This window comes from Homo sapiens, chromosome 22, assembly GCF_000001405.40.
Source record: "Homo sapiens chromosome 22, GRCh38.p14 Primary Assembly".
NCBI classification, from domain to species: Eukaryota; Metazoa; Chordata; class Mammalia; order Primates; family Hominidae; genus Homo; species Homo sapiens.
In genome coordinates this window covers 28,523,565-28,543,698 of record NC_000022.11, presented here as the reverse complement: position 1 = coordinate 28,543,698, position 20,134 = coordinate 28,523,565, and the positions used below count along the sequence as shown (strand labels likewise).

General features: G+C 40.2%; 1 protein-coding gene and 1 long non-coding RNA gene across 11 annotated transcripts in view, besides 1 other annotated feature; both read left to right on the top strand.

Annotated features, from left to right (window-relative positions):
* The window catches only part of TTC28 (tetratricopeptide repeat domain 28), a 701,827-nt gene that overhangs the window by 136,142 nt on the left and 545,551 nt on the right, over nt 1–20,134 (top strand). The gene's annotated exons all lie outside the window — the stretch shown is intronic.
* The window catches only part of LOC101929594 (uncharacterized), a 51,240-nt gene that overhangs the window by 21,139 nt on the left and 9,967 nt on the right, over nt 1–20,134 (top strand). The window contains exon 1 of one of the 2 annotated variants that reach the window (XR_007068043.1): nt 15,072–15,108. The exons of the other annotated variant lie outside the window; for it this stretch is intronic. This is a non-coding gene — a long non-coding RNA (uncharacterized LOC101929594). Of the gene's footprint in view, nt 1–15,071; nt 15,109–20,134 lie in introns of those variants that run through there. 2 annotated transcript variants of the gene reach the window in all.
* Nucleotides 2,129–2,694: an enhancer, noted in NCBI's record as "OCT4-NANOG hESC enhancer chr22:28936993-28937558 (GRCh37/hg19 assembly coordinates)". NCBI's record gives its function as "activates a minimal SCP1, AML or CMV promoter by ChIP-STARR-seq in primed H9 embryonic stem cells {active_cell/tissue: H9 hESC(primed)}" and the evidence as "EXISTENCE:reporter gene assay evidence [ECO:0000049][PMID:30033119]".

Here is a 20,134-nt window from a genome sequence, read left to right as displayed (position 1 = left end):
GTAGGATTGTTATTTTTTCCTTAAATATTTGATAGAATTGTCCAGTGAAGCTGTCTGGGCCTGGAGTTTTCTTCATAGGAAAATTGATTATGAATTCAATTGTTTTAATAGATACAAAGTTCTTCAGATTTTCTCTTCTCCCTCCCTCCCTCCTTCTCTCTCTCTCTTCTTTTCTTTCTCTCTTTTTATTCTTCTTCCTCCTCTTCCTCCCTCTCCTCCCCCCTCCTGTTGTTGTTCATCTCCTCCTCCTCCTCTTCCTCCTCTTCCTCCTCCTCCCTCTTCTTCATCTTCATCTTCATCTTCATCTTCTTTTCTTCTTCCTATTCTTTCTCTTCTCCTTTCTTCTCCTTCTTTCTTTTTTGAGACAGAGTCTTACTCTGTTGTCCAGCCTGGAGTACAGTGGCATAATTATGGCTCACTGCAGCTTTGACCTCCTGTGCTCAATTGATCCTGCTTCAGTCTCCCAAGTATTTGGAACTATAAGGTGAACACCACCATACCTGGCTATTTTTGTTACTTTTTATTTTGTAGAGATGGGGTCTTGCTGTGTTGCCCAGGCTGGTCTCAGACTCGTGGACTCAAGCAGTCCTCACAACTTGGCCTCCCAAAGTGCTGGGATTACAGGAGTGAGCCACTGCAACTGGCCTCTATTTGTCCTTGAATTAGTTTTTTAAAAAATATTTTTGGCTAGGGTAATGTGCAAAACATTTCTCAACATTGCTTTAAGTTGCATTTCTTGATTACTAGCATGAATGAATATTGTTGAATTCGTTTTGATTTTGTTTAAATTTTATTGATATTTGTTCTTATTTTTATTATGTTTTCTTTCTACTTACTTTGTTTTTCTATCATTGATTTTGGACTTGACTTTTTTTCCTATAAGCATCTGAAGCTATGCATTTCCCTCCAAGAACTGCTTTAACTGCATTCTGTAAATGTTGATATATTGTGTTTTCATTTTCAACTACTTCAAAATCTTTTCTGTTATCTCTTACGTGTTTATTCCTTGACTCTTAGATTACTAAAGTGTGTTTTAATTCAGATACTTCAGGATTAACCTGAAAGCTCTTTATTATTGATGTGTAATGTAATATTTTAATAAATTATTTATTTTTAATTATGTTAAAATATACATAACATAGAATTGAACATTTTAACCATTTTAAAGTTTACAGTTCAGTGGCATTAAGTCCATTCACATTGTTAGGTAACAATTATCATGATTATCCTGGTTTAGGTTCATAGAGCTTTTTGGATATATGGATTTACAGGTTTATCAAATTTAGAATTTTTCTGCCATTACTTATTCAGATTTTTGTTGTTCCTCCCTCCTTCCTCACCTTCTGTGGCTCCGATTATATATATGTAGACTGCTTGATATTGTTCCATTGGCCGCTGATGCTCTATTTTTATTCAGTCTTTGTGCTTTGGTTTCTATAGATTCTATTGCTGCATCTTCAGATTTAGTGATCTTCTGCATATCTATTCTGTGGTTAATTTATCTAGTGAGTTTTATTTTTATTTTTTATTAAAAAAATTTTTTTATGGCTGGTGTATGGTGGCTTATGCTTGTAATCCTAGCACTTTGGGATTTTTATTTTTATTTTTTAGAGATGGGATCTTGTTCTGTTACCCAGGCTGGAGTGCAGTGGCATGATTATAGCTCACTGCAGCCTCTAACTCCAGGGCTCAAGTGATCCTCTTGCTTTAGCCTCTCAAGTAGTTAGGACCACAGGTGTGCACCACTGTGCCCAGCTGATTTTTGAAAGACCTTTTTTTTTAAGACATGGGGGTCTTGCTATATTGCTCAGGCTGGTCTCAAACTCAAGAGATCATCTTGCTTTGACCTCCCAAAGTGTTGGGATTACAGGCGTGAGCCAATGTCCCTGGCCCATCTAGTAAATTTCATATTTCAGATATTGTATTTTTCATCTCTAGAAGTTCCTTTTCATTCTTTCTTATGTCTTCTTTCTTCTATATATATATATATTTAAAAACACTTGAACATAGTTACAATAACTTTTAATTTTCTTGTCTGCTAATTTTATCATCTCAGTCATTTTGGCAATCTTTATTAATTTTTCTTCAGGTCATGTTTTACATTCTACTTTTTCACATTTTTGGAATAAAAAATTTAAATTGTGGACATTGTTGATGTTTTCCTGTTGTGCATTTGGTTTTTATTGTTTTCTTTTAGAAAGTGTTTGGCTTTGTTCTGGCAGGCAATTATTTGCATACTTGTTGAACTCTTTTCCTGAGTAGCTGCTTCTTTTGGAGGCTTTGCCCTGCCACCTTGAACTGCTTTAGTCTTCCTAACTCTGACCTCTGACCCTCCAACCCAGCAAGACCTCTGTGCTTTGTTTTGGATTTCTCTTCATGCATTATGGCCCAGCAGGTCCTAAAAGGCAGAAGCCAGGGCAATCATGGGGCTAAATTCATTTGTATCCCTTCTCTCAGGCATCACACGTTTGTGCTGCCTATTGTTCAGTTTCTAAAAACAGTTGTTTTATATACGTTGTTCATTTTTCTATTGTTTTGGCAGAGCATAGATGTGGTATCTGTTGCTCCATCATGGCCAAAAGTGGAAGCCACCACTGGTTTTCATGTAGTTCATAACACTTTGGAGGGTGTGGTAAATAACAAGTATATCAAGTATAATTTTTAATACAGATCTGTTTTGAGTAAAAGTCTGTAAGATAGTTTGATCTTTTCTTGTTGCCTTTCAGCTAGTCTCCCTTATTTTATGGTAATGGAATCAGGAGTGAGATGATTCCATTTGATATAAAGAGTGAAGACTGGATCTGGAAAGATTCAATTTTACCTGTCCATTGACTTATGTGTAGTTTTAGACATATTCAAACTATTCAGATATCAATTTTTTCCCCTGTAGAATGAAGGAAGCATATTAGACTGACCTAAGATCTGAAGTCTTACTCTGGTGAAAATACTGTGATTCTATATTATAATCTATAAATGATACTGAAGGTTGAATGCTAAGCTCTGAAGCTAGTTAAACATTGTTTAAAATGAAAAATATGGGTTTTGGCTCTGGTAAAATTTGCTCCTAATTTGATCAACTTAAATAATAAATCAAGGATGAAAACAGTATTAAAGTATTAGATTTTATAGTACAAAGGGCATTTATTCATAAATATTGTATACTCTAACAGTGTTTTATGCAAATAGATGGTAAAATGCTGTTATGTTATCTGTGAGTTTGCATAGGACCTCATTTAGAAACAACTTCCTGCAGGGAGAAGCACACTGAATATATAGATTTTAAATTCTTAATCCCCATTAAAAATTCTCACCCAAGGAGTTCTTGTGAGACCAGGTCATTTAAAAATATGTGACATCTGCCTCCAGACCCAACTCTCTCTCTCTTGCTTCTGCTTTCACCATGTGATGTGCCTGTTCCCACTTTGCCTTCTACCACGATTGTAAAGCTTCCTGGGCCAGGCGCAGTGGCTCACACCTGTAATCCCAGCACTTTGGGAGGCCGAAATGGGCGGATCATGAGGTCAGGAGATAGAGACCATCCTGGCTAATACGATGAAACCCCGTCTCTACTAAGAAAACACAAAAAAATTAGCTGGGCGTGGTGGCGGGTGCCTTTAGTCCCAGCTACTCGGAGGCTGAGGCAGGAGAATGGCGTGAACCCAGGAGGCGGAACTTGCAGTGAGCCGAGATCGTGCCACTGCACTCCAGCCTGGGCGACAGAGTGAGACCCTGTCTCAGAAAAAAAAAAAAAAAAAAAAAAAGCTTCCTGAGGCCTCCCCAGAAGTAGATGCTGGTGCCATGCTTCCTATACAGGCTGCAGAGCCACAAGCCAGTCACGCTTCTTTTATTATAAATTACCTAGTCTCGGGTGTTTCTTTATAACAACACAAGAACGGCCTCACACAGCCCTCTTGTCCTGATGCAAGGTCTGACACTGTCGACCACCTTCTTCTTGATACTCTATCCCTGGGCCTTTGTGGCTTGTTCTTTTCTGATTCTTCTCCCCATTTGACTGTCCTTTCCATCTCCTCTTTCTCTGTCTATTTCTTTCCTTTTTTTTTTTGAGACAGTGTCTCACTCTGTTGCCCAGGCTGATGTGCAGTGGCTCAATCACGGTTCACTGCAGCCTCAGCCTCCCAGGCTCAAGCAATCCTCACGCCTCAGCCTCCCAAGTAGCTGGGGGTACAGGTGCATGCCACAACGCCTGGCTAAGTTTTGTATATTTTTATAGAGATGGGTTTTCACCATGTTGCTCAGGCTGGTCTGGAACCCCTGGGCTCCAGCGATCCACCCACCTTGGCCTCCCAAAGTGTTGGGATTACAAGTTTGAGCCACTGCTCCTGGCCTCTCCACCCATGTAGGTGTTCCTCAAGAATCTATTCCTGACACTTTATCTCCTAGCAACCTCTACATTTCAGCACCTGTAAGCTCATCCAGTTCAAATCTACCCCCCAGCCTGTCAGCCCCCGCCTTCCTCTCCTTGCCGAGCTCCAGTCCTCAATTCCTAACTTCCTGCCAGACATTTCCACTAGGACAATCTGATGTTGCATCAAATTTAGTATGTTCACAATCAAATTTACCACCTTCTGCAGAACTTGACCTCAGGCAGGACTGAAGTCTGGGCCTGTCAACAGGCAGTCTATCTGGCAAGTTGACCTTCCTTTCACATAGTCTCACAGTAGACAGTCCATAATATATTGGGGTGAATCTACCTCAGTTATTTGCACCCACTGAGCAGACAAGCAGGTAGTCAAAAAAAAGTTCACACAAGTTCTTTAAAATATTCACTTTTTGATTATGTAAAGCATGCACATAGTTCCAAATAAAAAAGGTACTTGGCTGGGCACAGTGGCTCATGCTTGTAATCCCAGCACTTTGGGAGGCCGAGGCAGGTGGATCATTTGAGGTCAGGAGTTCGAGACCAGCCTGACCAAAATGGTGAAACCCTGTCTCTACTAAAAATACAAAAAAATTAGCTGGACGTGGTGGCGCACGCCTGTAATCCCAGCTACTCAAGAGGCTGAGGCAAGAGAATTGCTTGAACTTGGGAGGCCGAGGTTGCAGTGAGCTGAGATTGTGCCACTGCACTTCAGCCTAGGCGACAGAGAGAGACTCTGTCTCAAAAAAAAAAAAAAAAAAAAAGAGAAAGGTGCTAAAGGGAATTCAGTGAAATATGTTTATCTTCTTATCACCACACCCAACTTTCAGCAATCTGGTTTTTCTTCAGAATTCCTTCTCAAAGGCAACACGCATTACCAGTTTCTTATTTATACTATCACAGATAGTCTATCCATATAAAGATATACCTATAGGCCAGGCACAGTGGTTCATGCCTGTAATCCCAGCACTTTGGGAGGCCGAGATGGTAGGACCACTTGAGTCAAGGAGTTCGAGACCAGCCTGGGCAACATAGCAAGACCCTAGGTCTCTACAAAATATAAAAAAAATTAGCCAGGCTTGGTGGCATGTGTTTGTAATCCCAGCTATTCAGGAAGCTGAGGCTGGAGGATCACTTGAGCCTGGGAGGTTGAGGCTTCAGTGAGCTGTGATCATGCCACTGTACTCTAGCCTGGCAACAGAGCGAGGCACTCTCTCTTAAAATAATCTAAAAGAGATATACCTATAAATATTAAAATTAGATATGTATGCAATGACACACATACTGAATAGCATATTGTATACATTATTCTGTCCTATGTCCTTCTTTCCTTCTATATCTTTTTTTTTCTTTTAAGAGATGGTGTCTTGCTATATTACCCAGTTTGGTCTCAAACTCCTGAGCTCAAGGGATCCTTCCACCTCAGCCTCCCATAGCTGGGCAACAAAGTGTACACTGCGCACAGCTTCTTTGTCTTAATTTCTTTCTATGTGTATTTATAGAGAACTACCCTAGTTTATTAGCTGTCTGATAGCGAACATATAGATGTATTGTAGTTTAACAGTTCTTTGTTAATAGAGTGTTAACCAGCTTTTGCTGTTAAATTTAATGATATAACGAATATATTTCCTTGTAAAATTTAAATTTACTTTAGATTTTTATGCTATTTTTGTAAACATGTACAAAATTTCAATTTTTATACATTTTGATCTATCAATCTTTTACGCTTCTTGGTCTTTCCTTCATTCTTTGACAGCCTCTCCCTACTCCAAGATTTAAAAATGTTTACTTTTGTATTTAAAGTTTTGATCAATCTGGAATTTTTTTTGTTATGAGAGGATCTATCTTCACTTTTTTCTAAGATGGCTACCCATTCATCTTTTCCCTACTGAGAAACAATATCGTATTCTAAATTCTCATATGTCTTTGTGTCATATTTGGGCTTCCTCTTCTTTTTCATTGATTTGCCTATTCTTGTTTTTATTTTATTTTATTTTATTTTATTTTATTTTATTTTATTTTATTTTTGAGACGGAGTCTGGCTCTGTCGCCCAGGCTGGAGTGCAGTGGCGCAATCTCGACTCACTGCAAGCTCTGCCTTCCAGGTTCACGCCATTCTCCTGCCTCGGCCTCCCGAGTAGCTGGGACTACAGGCACCCGCCACCACGCCCGGCTAATTTTTTATATTTTTAATAGAGACGGGGTTTCACCATGTTAGCCAGGATGGTCTCGATCTCCTGACCTCGTGATCCGCCTGCCTCGGCCTCCCGAAGTGCTGGGATTACAGGCGTGAGCCACCGCGCCCGGCCAATTTGTCTATTCTTACATCATAACCGTACTTATAATTATGCTACATTATATAATACATATTATAATGTTAATATATTAAATTATACATAATATAGTTACAATATGTAACTATAAATTGATATCTGAGTTGGGCTAGTACTCTACCATTTCTCTTTTCTAGTATCTTCCCAGTGTTACATGTTTTTTGTTGTTAACTTTGAAATCCAATTGCCTAATTAAAAAATTCTATTGGTGTTTTGTTGGGATTGCATTACATTTGTAAAACAATAAGTCATAGATCAGAGAATTGACACCTTCATGGCATTCAGTCTTTCCGTCCAAGAAAGGACAGACTATTACATTTATTCAGTGCTTCTCAGTAGTGTTTTTTTATTTTTATTTTTTTTTGAGACGGAGTCTCGCTCTGTCGCCCAGGCTGGAGTGCAGTGGCGCAATCTCGGCTCACTGCAAGCTCCGCCTCCCGGGTTCACGCCATTCTCCTGCCTCAGCCTCGCGAGTAGCCGGGACTACAGGCGCCTGCCACCACGTCTGGCTAATTTTTTGTATTTTTAGTAGAGACGGGGTTTCACCGTGTTAGCCAGGATGGTCTCGATCTCCTGACCTCGTGATCCGCCCGCCTCGGCCTCCCAAAGTGCTGGGATTACAGGCGTGAGCCACCGCGCCCGGCCGCCTCTAAGTAGTTTAAAAAGATTTTATCATATAGATCTTGTACTTTTTTTGCCAACTTTATTCTTAGATTATTAATCTTTTTTTGTTGTTACTATAAAGGGGATAATTTATTATTTTTATGTTTTTTTTTTTTTTTTTTTTTTGAGACGGTGTCTCGCTCTGTCGCCCAGGCTGGAGTGCAGTGGCGTGATCTCGGCTCACTGCAAGCTCCGCCTCCCGGGTTCCCGCCATTCTCCTGCCTCAGCCTCTCCTAGTAGCTGGGACTACAGGGGCCCGCCACCAAGCCAAGCTAATTTTTTGTATTTCTAGTAGAGACGGGGTTTCACCGTGGTCTTGATTTCCTGACCTCGTGATCTGCCCGCCTCGGCCTCCCAAAGTGCTGGGATTACAAGGGTGAGCCACCGTGCCTGGCCTAGGTCTTTTTTTTAATTTATAAAGAAAAGAGATTTAATCAGCTTGCCCTTCTGCAGGCTGTATAGGCTTCTGCTCCTGGGGAGACCTCAGGAAACTTACAATCATGGTTGAAGGCAAAGGGGAAGCAGGCACAGTCTTCACATGGCCAGGAGGAGAGAGAGGGAGTGAAGTGGGAGGTGCTACACACTTTCAAACAACCAGATCTTGTGAGAAGTCCATCACAAGATTGGCAAGGGGGAAGTCCATCCCCGTGGTTCAGTCACCTCCCACCAGGCCCCTCCTCCAACACTGGGGATACAATTTGACATGAGATTTTGGTAGGGACACAGAGCCAAACCATATGACCCATTAACAATAGAATAGATACATTGTGGTATATATGTATAATGGAACACAATTTAGCAATGAAGAAAACTTTATCTATCTATAAAAACATTAATGAATCTCAAAGGTATAAAATTTAGCAACAAAAAGTATACTATGTAATCTCATTTAAATAAAATTCAAAAACAGGCAACATTAATTTATAGTACTAAGAATCTGTGCTGTGGTTACCTTTGGAGGAAGTAACAACAGGGACAGGAGCACAAAGTAGGCCTCTGTGGTGTTGTCAATGTTCAATATCTTGCTTTGTGTCAAAATCAAGCTGTAAAATTAATATTTATGCCCTTACAAGTCCATAAATTAGATTTAAATTAAATAAGTGAAACAAAAGCTATATGGTTGCCTAAATCAACCAACTGTAAAGTCATGAGTCATAATAATTCCCAAATTCCTTTTTTTTAAATATACTTGGCAACAGATTTTATTAAGGGACAGTAACCATTGTATTCCTAGAGCCGTCATCTTTCTTTTTTTTATTATTATTATACTTGAAGTTCTAGGGTGTACACATGTGTACAATGTGCAGGTTTGTTACATATGTATACATGTGCCATGTTGGTGTGCTGCACCCATTAACTCATTTACATTAGGTATATCTCCTCATACTACCCCTGCCCCCTCCCCCAACCCCACAACACGTCCCGGTGTGTGATGTTCCTCATCCTGTGTCCAAGTGTTCTCATTGTTCAATTCCCACCTATTAGTGAGAACATGTGGTGTTTGGTTTTCTTTCCTTGCGATAGTTTGCTCAGAATGATGGTTTCCAGCTTCATCCATGTCCCTACAAAGGACATGAACTCATCTTTTTTATGGCTGCCTAGCATTCCATGCTGTATATGTGCCACATTTTCTTAATCAAGTCTATCATTGATGGACATTTGGGTTGGTTCCAAGTCTTTGCTATTGTGAATAGTGCCACAGTAAACATACGTGTGCATGTGTCATTATAGCAGCATGATTTATAATCCTTTGGGTATATACTCAGTAATGGGATGGCTGGTTCAAATCGTATTTCTAGTTCTAAATCCTTGAGGAATCGCCACACTGTCTTCCACAATGGTTGAACTAGTTTACAGTCCCACCAACAGTGTAAAAGTGTTCCTATTTCTCCACATCCTGTCCAGCACCTGTTGTTTCCTGACTTTTTAATGATCGCCATTCTAACTGGTGTGAGATGGTATCTCATTGTGGTTTTTATTTGCATTTCTCTGATGGCCAGTGATGATAAGCATTTTTTCATGTGTCTTTTGGCTGCATAAATGTCTTCTTTTGAGAAGTGTCTGTTCATATCCTTCACCCACTTTTTGATGGGGTTGTTTGATGTTTTTCTTGTAAATTTGTTTTAAGTTCTTTGTAGATTCTGGATATTAGCCCTGTGTCAGATGGATAGATTGCAAAAATTTTCTCCCATTCTGTAGGTTGCCTGTTTACTCTGATGGTACTTTCTTTTGCTGTGCAGAAGCTCTTTACTTTAGTTAGATCCCATTTGTCAATTTTGGCTTTTGTTGCCATTGCTTTTGGTGTTTTAGTCATGAAGTCCTTGCCCATACCTATGTCCTGAATGGTATTGCCTAGGTTTTCTTCTAGGGTTTTTATGGTTTTAGGTCTAACATTTAAGTCTTTAATCCATCTTGAATTAATTTTTGTACAAGGGGTAAGGAGGGGATCCAGTTTCAGCTTTCTACATATGGCTAGTCCGTTTTCCCAGCACCATTTATTAAATAGGGAATCCTTTCCCCATTTCTTGTTTTTGTCAGGTTTGTCAAAGATCAGATGGTTGTAGATGTGTGGTATTATTTCAGAGGGCTCTGTTTTGTTCCATTGATCTATATCTCTGTTTTGGTACCAGCACCATGCTGTTTTGGTTACTGTAGCCTTGTAGTATAGTTTGAAGTCAGGTAGCTTGATGCCTCCAGCTTTATTCTTTTGGCTTAGGATTGTCTTGGCAATGCAGGCTCTGTTTTGGTTCCATATGAGCTTTAAAGAAGTTTTTTTCCAATTCTGTGAAGAAAGTCATTGGTAGCTTGATGGGGATGGCATTGAATCTATAAATTACCTTGAGCAGTATGGCTATTTTCATGATATTGATTCTTCGTATCCATGAGCATGGAATGTTCTTCCATTTGTTTGTGTCCTCTTTTATTTCATTGAGTGGTCATTTGTAGTTCTCCTTGAAGAGGCCCTTCACATCCCTTGTAAGCTGGATTCCTAGGTATTTTATTCTCTTTGAAGCAATTGTGAATGGGAGTTCGCTCATGATTTGGCTCTCTGTTTGTCTGTTATTGGTGTATAGGAATGCTTGTGATTTTTGCACATTGATTTTTTTATCCTGAGACTTTGCTGAAGCTGCTTATCGGCTTAAGGAGATTTTGGGCTGAGATGATGGGGTTTTCTAGATATACAACCATGTCATCTACAAACAGGGACAATTTGACTTCTTCTTTTCCTAATCGAATACCCTTTATTTCTTTCTCCTGCCTGATTGCCCTGGCCAGAACTTCCAACACTATGTCGAATAGGAGTTGTGAGAGAGGGCATCCCTGTCTTGTGCCAGTTTTCAAAAGGAATGCTTCCAGTTTTTGCCCATTCAGTATGACATTGGCTGTGGGTTGTCATAAATAGCTCTTATGATTTTGAGATACGTCCCATCAATACCTAGTTTATTGAGAGTTTTTAGCATGAAGCACTCTTGAATTTTGTCAAAGACCTTTACTGCATCTATTGAGATAATCATGTGGCTTTTGTCTTTGATTCTGTTTATATGCTGGATTACATTTATTGATTTGTGTATGTTGAACCAGCCTTGCATCCCAGGGATGAAGCCAACTTGATTGTGATGGATAAGCCTTTTGATATGCTGCTGGATTTGGTTTGCCAATATTTTATTGAGGATTTTTGCATCGATGTTCATCACGGATAATGGTCTAAAATTCTCTTTTTTTGTTGTGTCTCTGCCAGGCTTTGGTATCAGGGTGATGCTGGCCTCATAAAATGAGTTAGGGAGGATTGCCTCTTTTTCTTTTGATTGGAATAGTTTCAGAAGGAATGGTACCAGCTCCTCTTTGTACCACTGGTAGAATTCGGCTGTGAATCTGTCTGGTCCTGGACTTTTTTTGGTTGGTAAGCTATTAATTATTGCCTCAATTTCAGAGCATGTTATTGGTGTATTCAGGGATTCACCTTCTTCCTGGTTTAGTCTTGGGAGGGTGTATGTGTCCAGGAATTTATCTATTTCTTCTAGACTTTTTAGTTTATTTGCATAGAGGTGTTTATAATATTCTCTGATGGTAGTTTGTATTTCCGTGGGATCGGTGGTGGTATCCCCTTTATCATTTTTTATTGTGTCTATTTGATTCTTCTCTCTTTTCTTCTCTATTAGTCTTGCTAGTGGTCTATCAATTTTGTTGATCTTTTCAGAAAACCACCTCCTCCATTTGATTTTTTGAAGGGTTTTTTGTGTCTCTGTCTCCTTCAGTTCTGCTCTGATCTTAGTTATTTCTTGCCTTCTGCTAGCTTTTGCACGTGTTTGCTCTTGCTTCTCAAGTTCTTTTAATTGTGATGTTAGGGTGTCAATTTTAGATCTTTCCTGCTTTCTCTTGTGGGCATTTAGTGCTATAAATTTCCCTCTACACACTGCTTTAAATGTGTCCCAGAGATTCTGGCATGTTGTGTCTTTGTTCTCATTGGTTTCAAAGAACATCTTTACTTCTGCCTTCATTTCGTTATGTACCCAGTAGTCATTCAGGAGCAGGTTGTTCAGTTTCCATGTAGTTGAGTGGTTTCGAGTGAGTTTCTTAATCCTGAGTTCTAGTTTGATTGCACTGTGGTCTGAGAGACAATTTGTTATAATTTCTGTTCTTTTACATTTGCTGGGGAGTGCTTTACTTCCAACTATGTGGTCAATTTTGGAATAAGTGTGATGTGGTGCTGAGAAGAATGTATATTCTGTTGATTTGGGGTGGAGAGTTCTGTAGATGTCTATTAGATCCGCTTGGTGCTGAGCTGAGTTCAATTCCTGGATGTCCTTTTTAACTTTCTGTCTCATTGATCTGTTTAATGTTGACAGTGGGGTGTTAAAATCTCCCATTATTATTGTGTGGGAGTCTAAGTCTCTTTGTAGGTCTCTAAGGACTTGCTTTATGAATTTGGGTACTCCTGTATTGAGTGCATATATATTTAGGATAGTTAGCTCTTCTTGTTGAATTGATCCCTTTACCATTATGTAATGGCCTTCTTTGTGTCTTTTGATCTTTGTTTATTTAAAGTCTGTTTTATCAGAGGCTAGGATTGCAACTCCTGCTTTTTGTTGTTTTCCATTTGCTTGGTAGATCTTCCTCCATTCCTTTATTTTGAGCCTATGTGTGTCTCTGCAGGTGAGCTGGGTCTCCTGAATATAGCACACTGATGGGTCTTGACTCTTCATCCAGTTTGCCAGTCTGTGTCTTTTAATTGGAGCATTTAGTCCATTTACATTTAAGGTTAATATTGTTATGTGTGAATTTGATCCTGTCATTATGATGTCAGCTGGTTATTTTGCTCATTAGTTGATGCAGTTTCTTCCTAGCATCAATGGTCTTTACAGTTTGGCATGTTTTTGCAGTGGCTGGTACCGGTTGTTCCTTTCCATGTTTAGTGCTTCCTCCAGGAGCTTTGTAAGGCAGGCCTGGTGGTGACAAAATCTCTCAGCATTTGCTTGTCTGTAAAGGATTTTATTTCTCCTTCACTTATGAAGCTTAGTTTGGCTGGGTATGAAATTCTTGGTTGAAAATTCTTTTCTTTAAGAATGTTGAATATTGGCCCCCACTCTCTTCTGGCTTGTAGAGTTTCTGCCGAGACATCTGCTGTTAGTCTGATGGGCTTCCCTTTGTGGGCAACCCGACCTTTCTCTCTGGCTGCCCTTAATATTTTTTCCTTCATTTCAACTTTGGTGAATCTGACAATTACGTGTCTTAGAGTTGCTCTTCTGGAGGAGTATCTTTGTGGCGTTCTCTGTATTTCCTGAATTTGAATGTTGGCCTGCCTTGCTAGGTTGGGGAAGTTCTCCTGGATAATATCCTGAGAGTGTTTTCCAACTTGGTTCCATTCTCCCCATGACTTTCAAGTACACCAATCAGACGTAGATTTGGTCTTTTCACATAGTCCCATATTTCTTGGAGGCTCTGTTCATTTCTTTTCACTCTTTTTTCTCTAAACTTGTCTTCTCGCTTCATTTCATTCATTTGATCTTCAATCACTGATACCCTTTCTTCCACTTGATCGAATCGGCTGCTGAAGCTTGTGCATGTGTCACGTAGTTCTCATGCCATGGTTTTCAGCTCCATCAGGTCATTTAACATCTTCTCTACGCTGTTTATTCTAGTTAGCCATTCATCCAATCTTTTTTCAAGGTTTTTAGCTTCTTTGCAGTGGTTTCGAACATCCTCCTTTAGCTCGGAGAAGTTTGTTACTACCGATCATCTGAAGCCTTCTTCTCTCAACCGTCGAAGTCATTCTCTGTTCAGCTTTGTTCCGTTGCTGGCGAGGAGCTTCGTTCCTTTGGAGGAGAAGAGGTGCTCTTATTTTTAGAATTTGAAGCTTTTCTGCTCTGGTTTTTCCCCATTTTTGTGGTTTTATCTACCTTTAGTCTTTGATGATGGTGATGTGCAGATGGGGTTTTGGTGTGGATGTCCTTTCTGTGTGTTAGTTTTCCTTCTAACAGTCAGGACCCTCAGCTGAAGGTCTGCTGGAGTTTGCTGGAGTCCACTCCAGACCCTGTTTGCCTGAGTGTCACCAGGAGAGGCTGCAGAACAGCAAATATTGCAGAATGGCAAATGTTGCTGCCTGATCCTTCCTCTGGAAGCTTCGTCTCGTAGGGGCACCTGGCTGTATGAGGTGTCAGTTGGCCCCTACTGGGAGGTGTCTCCCAGTTAGGCTACTCAGGGGTTAGGAACCCACTTGAGGCAGTCTGTCTGTTCTCAGATCTCAAACTCCATGCTGGGAGAACCACTACACTCTTCAAAGCTGTCAGACAGGGACGTTTAAGTCTGCAGAAGTTTCTGCTGCCTTTTGTTCAGCTATGCCCTGCCCTCAAAGGTGGAGTCTACAGAGGCAAGCAGGCCTCTTTGAGCTGTGGTGGACTCCACCCAGTTTGAGCTTCCAGGCCACTTTGTTTACCTACCCAAGCCTCAGCAATGGTGGGCGCCCGTCCCCCAGCCTCGCTGCTGCCTTGCAGTTCGATCTCAGACTGCTGTGCTAGCAGTGAGCGAGGCTCCGTGGGCGTGGGACCATCTGAGTCATGCATGGGATATAATCTGGTGTGCCATTTGCTAAGACCATTGGAAAAGCACAGTATTAGGGTGGGAGTGTCCCGATTTTCCAGGTACGGTCTGTCATGGCTTCCCTTGGCTAGGAAAGGGAATTCTCCAACCCCTTGCGCTTCCCGGGTGAGGCGATGCCCTGCCCTGCTTCGGCTCACACTCTGTGGGCTGCACCCACTGTCTGACAAGCCCCAGTGAGATGAACCTGGTACCTCAGTTGGAAATGCAGAAATCACCCATCTGTGTCACTCACACTGGGGGCTGTAGACTGGAGTTGTTCCTATTTGGTAATCTTGGAACCTCCCCATTCTTTTATGTCTTCTAAATAGTTGTTGTTTGTATGTCTGAAGTCCATTTGTTTTTCATATTAATTTTACTGCCTTTAAAAACAGTCTTCCAGTTAATTTCTTTGTGTTTTCCAGGAATTCAATCTTATTATTTGCAAATATAATTTTACTTCATCTGTCTCAGTTTTCATTCTTTTCTTTTCCTTTTTTTTTTTTTTTTTTTATGAGACAGGGTCTTGCTCTGTTGCCCAATCAGGAATGCAGTGGTGTGATCTCAGTTCACTGTAACCTCCGCTTCCTGGGTTCAAGCAGTTCTCGTGCCTTGGCCTCCCGAGTAGCTCGGACTACAAGTGCATGCCACCATTCCCGGGTAATTTTTTTTTTTTTTGTAGTTTTATTAGAGATGGGGTTTTATCATGTCCAGGCTGGTCCAGAGCTCCTAACCTCAAGTGGTTCACCCATCTTGGCCTCCCAAAGTTCTGGGATTATAGCCATGAGCCACTGTGCCTGGCCTACACTGGGTTTTTAAGCTGACTTCTTTGCAAAAGCTATTCAAGGGATTACTATATGCATCCTTAACGATCTACTGAGAAGTAATATGGAACCACTTCAAGTAAAAGATAAGAACTTTGCAACAGTATTGTTTCATTTACCACCCCTTATCCTTTGTGGTATTACTGTCATATATATTACATCATAATTATAAACTCCATAAGAGTGTTTTAATTTTTTGGCTTAAGCATTCATATGTCCTTTATGAAACTGAAGAAAAGATAATCATTTTAAAAATATTTACTCAAAAATGTCTCATTTCCTGTGCTTTTCATTCTACCCCATTGCTGTGGTTTGAATGTGCCCCCCAAATTTCATTTGTTGGAAATACAATCCTAAATTCATATGTTGTAATTAGGATTAGATAAGGTTATCAAGGTGGGGCCTCCCATGATGGGGCTGTTTGCTTTATGAGAAGAGGAAAAGAGACCTGAGCTTACATGCACACTTGTTCTGTCTTGCTGTATGATGCCTCCTGCTATGTCATGGTGGTGGCGGCTCATGCCTGTAAACCTTGGGAGGTCAAGGTGGGAGGATCACTTGAGGCTAGGAGTTCAAGACCAGCCTGGGCAACATGGTGAGACCCCATCTCTACAAAAAATAAATTTACCTGGATGTGGTGGCATGTGCCTGTAGTCCCAGCTACTCAAGAGGTTGAGGTGGGAGGATCACTTGATCCCAGGAGGTCAAGGCTGCAGTGAGCTGTGTTTGTGCCACTGCACTCCAGCCTGGGCAACATAGCAAAACCCTGTCTCAAAAAAATATTTAGTATATTATATAAGTGTATCTGTAACATTTAAGAGAACTCTCTAGGGCACCCTAAAGCTTAGGGAGAGTACCCAGGAAAGAGTGCCCCTTCCCCAATGTCTGAAACCTTGTTGGAGAAGATGTAGTTGTAGCCCATTTGATGGCAGAGAAGTTTCTGGTTTGCATAGGCCAGAACTGGTTTGCAGTAACTAGGCAAGCTTGAAGCAACTCTCTTGGGCACAGGCAAACTTCAACTCATGACTGACATGGGAGTGCAGAGGAAGAGGCGGCATTAATGCATGCAGGAAGCCTGGAGTATGTGGTGTTCATTTCGGTATGGCTGTGGCATCAGGAAGTTTGAAGGAGACAAACTTTTGGGAGAGGGAGTGAGTAGAGGGAGTTGGGGCACCAGTGTGGGCAGGAATCCTGAAATGTGCAGTATCTGTGTTGAGTGGGCCATAGGGAGGTGATCATCAGGCTGAGCTGCAGTTGTGAATTTGCTGATAGACTATATGTTCTCAGCACTTGGCTGGGGCAGAGTGCCACTGGTGTCCTCATATTTACACTACTGATTCCCTGTGCAACAGGTAGAAAACCTAGAATAGGCTGGGTGCAGTGGCTCATGCCTGTAATCTCAGCAGTTTCGGAGGCTGAGGCGGGTGGATCACCTGAGGTCAGGAGCTCAAGAACAGTCTGACCAACATGGTGAAACCCTATCTCTACTAAAAAATACAAAAATTAGCCAGGCATGGTGGCAAGTGCTTGTAATCCCAACTACTTGGGAGGCTGAGGCAGGAGAATCACTTGTACCTGGGAGGCGGAGGTTGCAGTGAGCCGAGGTGGTACCATTGCACTCCAACCTGGGCAACAGAGCAAGACTCCATCTCAAAAAAAAATTAAAATAAAAAAACAAACAAACAAAAAAACAGATTAGCTTCTTCCTCTCTCCTGTAGTGATCCTTCAGCATCCTCTATGAAGAAAGCTCAATATCATATTCATTGTATAGAGGATTTCAGAGCAGATATTGAAGGGTGGGTTTGGAACAGACCCTTCATGCTCTAACTCCTCAGGCCTGTAAGACTGTGGGCGTTCTACTTAGGTTCTAGCTGTCCTACACTGTATGGACTGGGTGTGTTCTCAAATAGCTGTATACATGCTATTCTTGCCCACTGCATTTCTCTTCTTTCAAGATTTGACACTTCTGTTTTCTGTCTGATTTTGGTTATTCTTTGCCTTCAAATAGTTATTTTTTAATACTTTGTTCAGAATTTGTAATGTTTATCCTTGGGAAGGTCTTTGTAAGCTACTGTACCATTATGGGAAGTGGAAACTGCATTTTATTATCGAAAAAAATTTAAAGCTGTGAAAGATGTTGTTAGAATAATTATATCTAAGAAATATTGAACATTTATACATCAAATGAGATAGTTTGTCTTATTTCAGCTTTAAGACTAGATACTTATTATTGTTAGTAGTTTTATAGATGAGAATATTGAAGTTTGAAGAGGTTCTTATTTTATTAAGACATACAGCAGAGCTAGTATTTGATTGCAAATGTTTCCCACTCCACAGCCCCGTCCCGTACTTACAGACATGGTACTAAGCACAACTTTGTTGATAGCATTACTATAATTGTTTTGACTTGTTCATTAGAATTCTAGAATTCTAGTTCTTTAAGTGCAGAAATGGTGTGCCATCTCATTTTTGTGATGAATTCATATGATACTTGGAAAATAGTAGATACTATAGTGTTTGTTTGTTAAAATGGATTTATTTCCATCTAAAAAGCCATACAAATTGTTTTAAGTCCTGTTACTTATGGAGTTACTAAATAACAGTGCTTTTAGGTTTTTAATAGGTCAGTTGATTCTTAAATACGAATTTTGTTAGTTTTCAGACTTTTTTCATGTTCCCATAGGGTTTAATTTTCAGAATACAAGAATGAATTTTATTATATTTGTGGCACCTGCACAGACTCCATTTTGTAGTACTTATGTCCTATTTTTAGGAAGCCTCATGGAGTATAGATAACCAGGCTATTTAAACAAACTTATTTATAAAAGAAAAAATGAAGTTCTCTTAAGTTTAAAAATTTTCACCTTTCCCTAGAGTGATCTTAATTTCAGTCATCTAGTTTAAAAAGACCTGATTGTTTCTGCCTGAAAGATTTGTACTAGGGAATAACTAATGAAAACAAAACTTAGGAGGCTGGATGAGGTGGCTCACACCTGTAATCCCAGCACTTTGAGAAGCGGAGGCAGAGGGATCCATTTGAGCTCAGGTGTTTGAGACTAGCCTGGGCGACATGGTGAAAACCTGTCTCCATAAAATAATATAAAAGTTAGCCAGATGTGGTAATGTGCACCTGTGGTCCTAGCTACTCGAGAGGCTGAGGTGGGAGGATTAGTTGAACCTGGGAGGTCGAGGTACATACAGTGAGCCATGATTGCACCGCTGCACTCCAGCCTCGGTGACAGAGTGAGACCCGTTTCACACACACAATAAAACCCCCAAACTTTGGATTAAAAGAAATTTTTAATAATGGCACATTTTAGTTATAGATCATTTTAAAGATATACTAAGTATGAAGAAAAATCACAATTCATATAACCCCAGCAGTAAGCCCAATGAACTTTTTTTCTATCAATAATAAGTCTTGAACACATTTTATGGTTATTGAAATTAACAAAATATGATTTTGAATAATTCATTATTGCATGAATCTTTGCCTGTGATTATTTCTTACCTAGAATTAGAATTACATGGTTAAAGAATAGTATGATTTTTGTGGTCAATGATATGTAATTCCAAATTGCCCTCCAAAAGTATATACATGAATTTATATTTTCATCACCAACATATGAGAGTGCCTGTTTTACTGTGCATTTGACAATGCTGGAATTTATAATTTTAAAAACTTCCTATTTTTATGAGGTAAATAATGGTTTCTTTGTCAATTTGTATTTCTTTGATTTGTTGTGAGGGTGACATTTTGCATATATTTGTTTGATACCATTAATTTTTTTAAATACTTTTTTTGTATTTTTGGTAGAGACAGGTTTTCACCATTTCGCCAAGGATTGTCTTGAACTCCTGAGCTCAAGTGATTCTCCCACCTTAGCCTCCCAAAGTGCTGGGATTACAGGCATGAGCCATTGTGCCTGTCTGGATACCGTTGAATATTTTTTTTTTTTTTTTTTTGAGCTGGCTTCTGGCTCTGTCGCCCAGGCTGGAGTGCAGTGGCGCGATCTCGGCTCACTGCAAGCTCCGCCTCCTGGGTTCACGCCATTCTCCTGTCTCAGCCTCCCGAGTAGCTGGGACTACAGGCGCCCGCCACCATGCCCGGCCAATTTGTTTTTGTATTTTTGGTAGAGACAGGGTTTCACCGTGTTAGCCGGGATGGTCTCGATCTCCTGACCTGGTGATCTGCCCGTCTTGGCCTCCCAAAGTGCTGGGATCGTTAATTTTTTGAGCGTAATTACCTACTTATGTTCACTCATCACCCTTCAAAAAATGACTTTTAAAAAATTCAAACAGACTATTAAAAATAGTTTTTAATAGAAGTAAATTTTGGTAAAATCGTGAGTTACTCAGAATTTGCCTTTTCACAGTCTTCCTCCTCCAGGGTTTCCTACTAAGTACTACTTTGCCTTCATGTAAGTTTTAAGGGGGCGGAAGAAAAAAGGGAGAAAGGAGGAAAAGGGATTGAAAGGAGGAAAAGGGATTGAAAGGAGGAAAAGGAAGAAAAATATGAGATTATTAATGTGAAGCTCTTAGTACTGTGCTTGGCATTTATTAAGCATTTTATAAAACGTATTATTATTGCCACTGCTATTATTATTAACATTAAAACATACCTGTTTTCTATGGGATTTCTTTAGGACCTGACTTTTAAAGATCTTAAGCTATTTAGATTCTGGAGTCAGGCTCTACTGTGTTCTTTGCTAACTGTGTGTGCATGAAAAAATAACTTAATCTTTCTGAGAGTCTGTGTCCTTGTTTATAAAATTGAAATGATGATGCATCTCTCTCACTGGGCTATTTTGAGGCTTGTTGAGACAATATATAAAAAGGGCCAAGCACATGGAACGCTCTC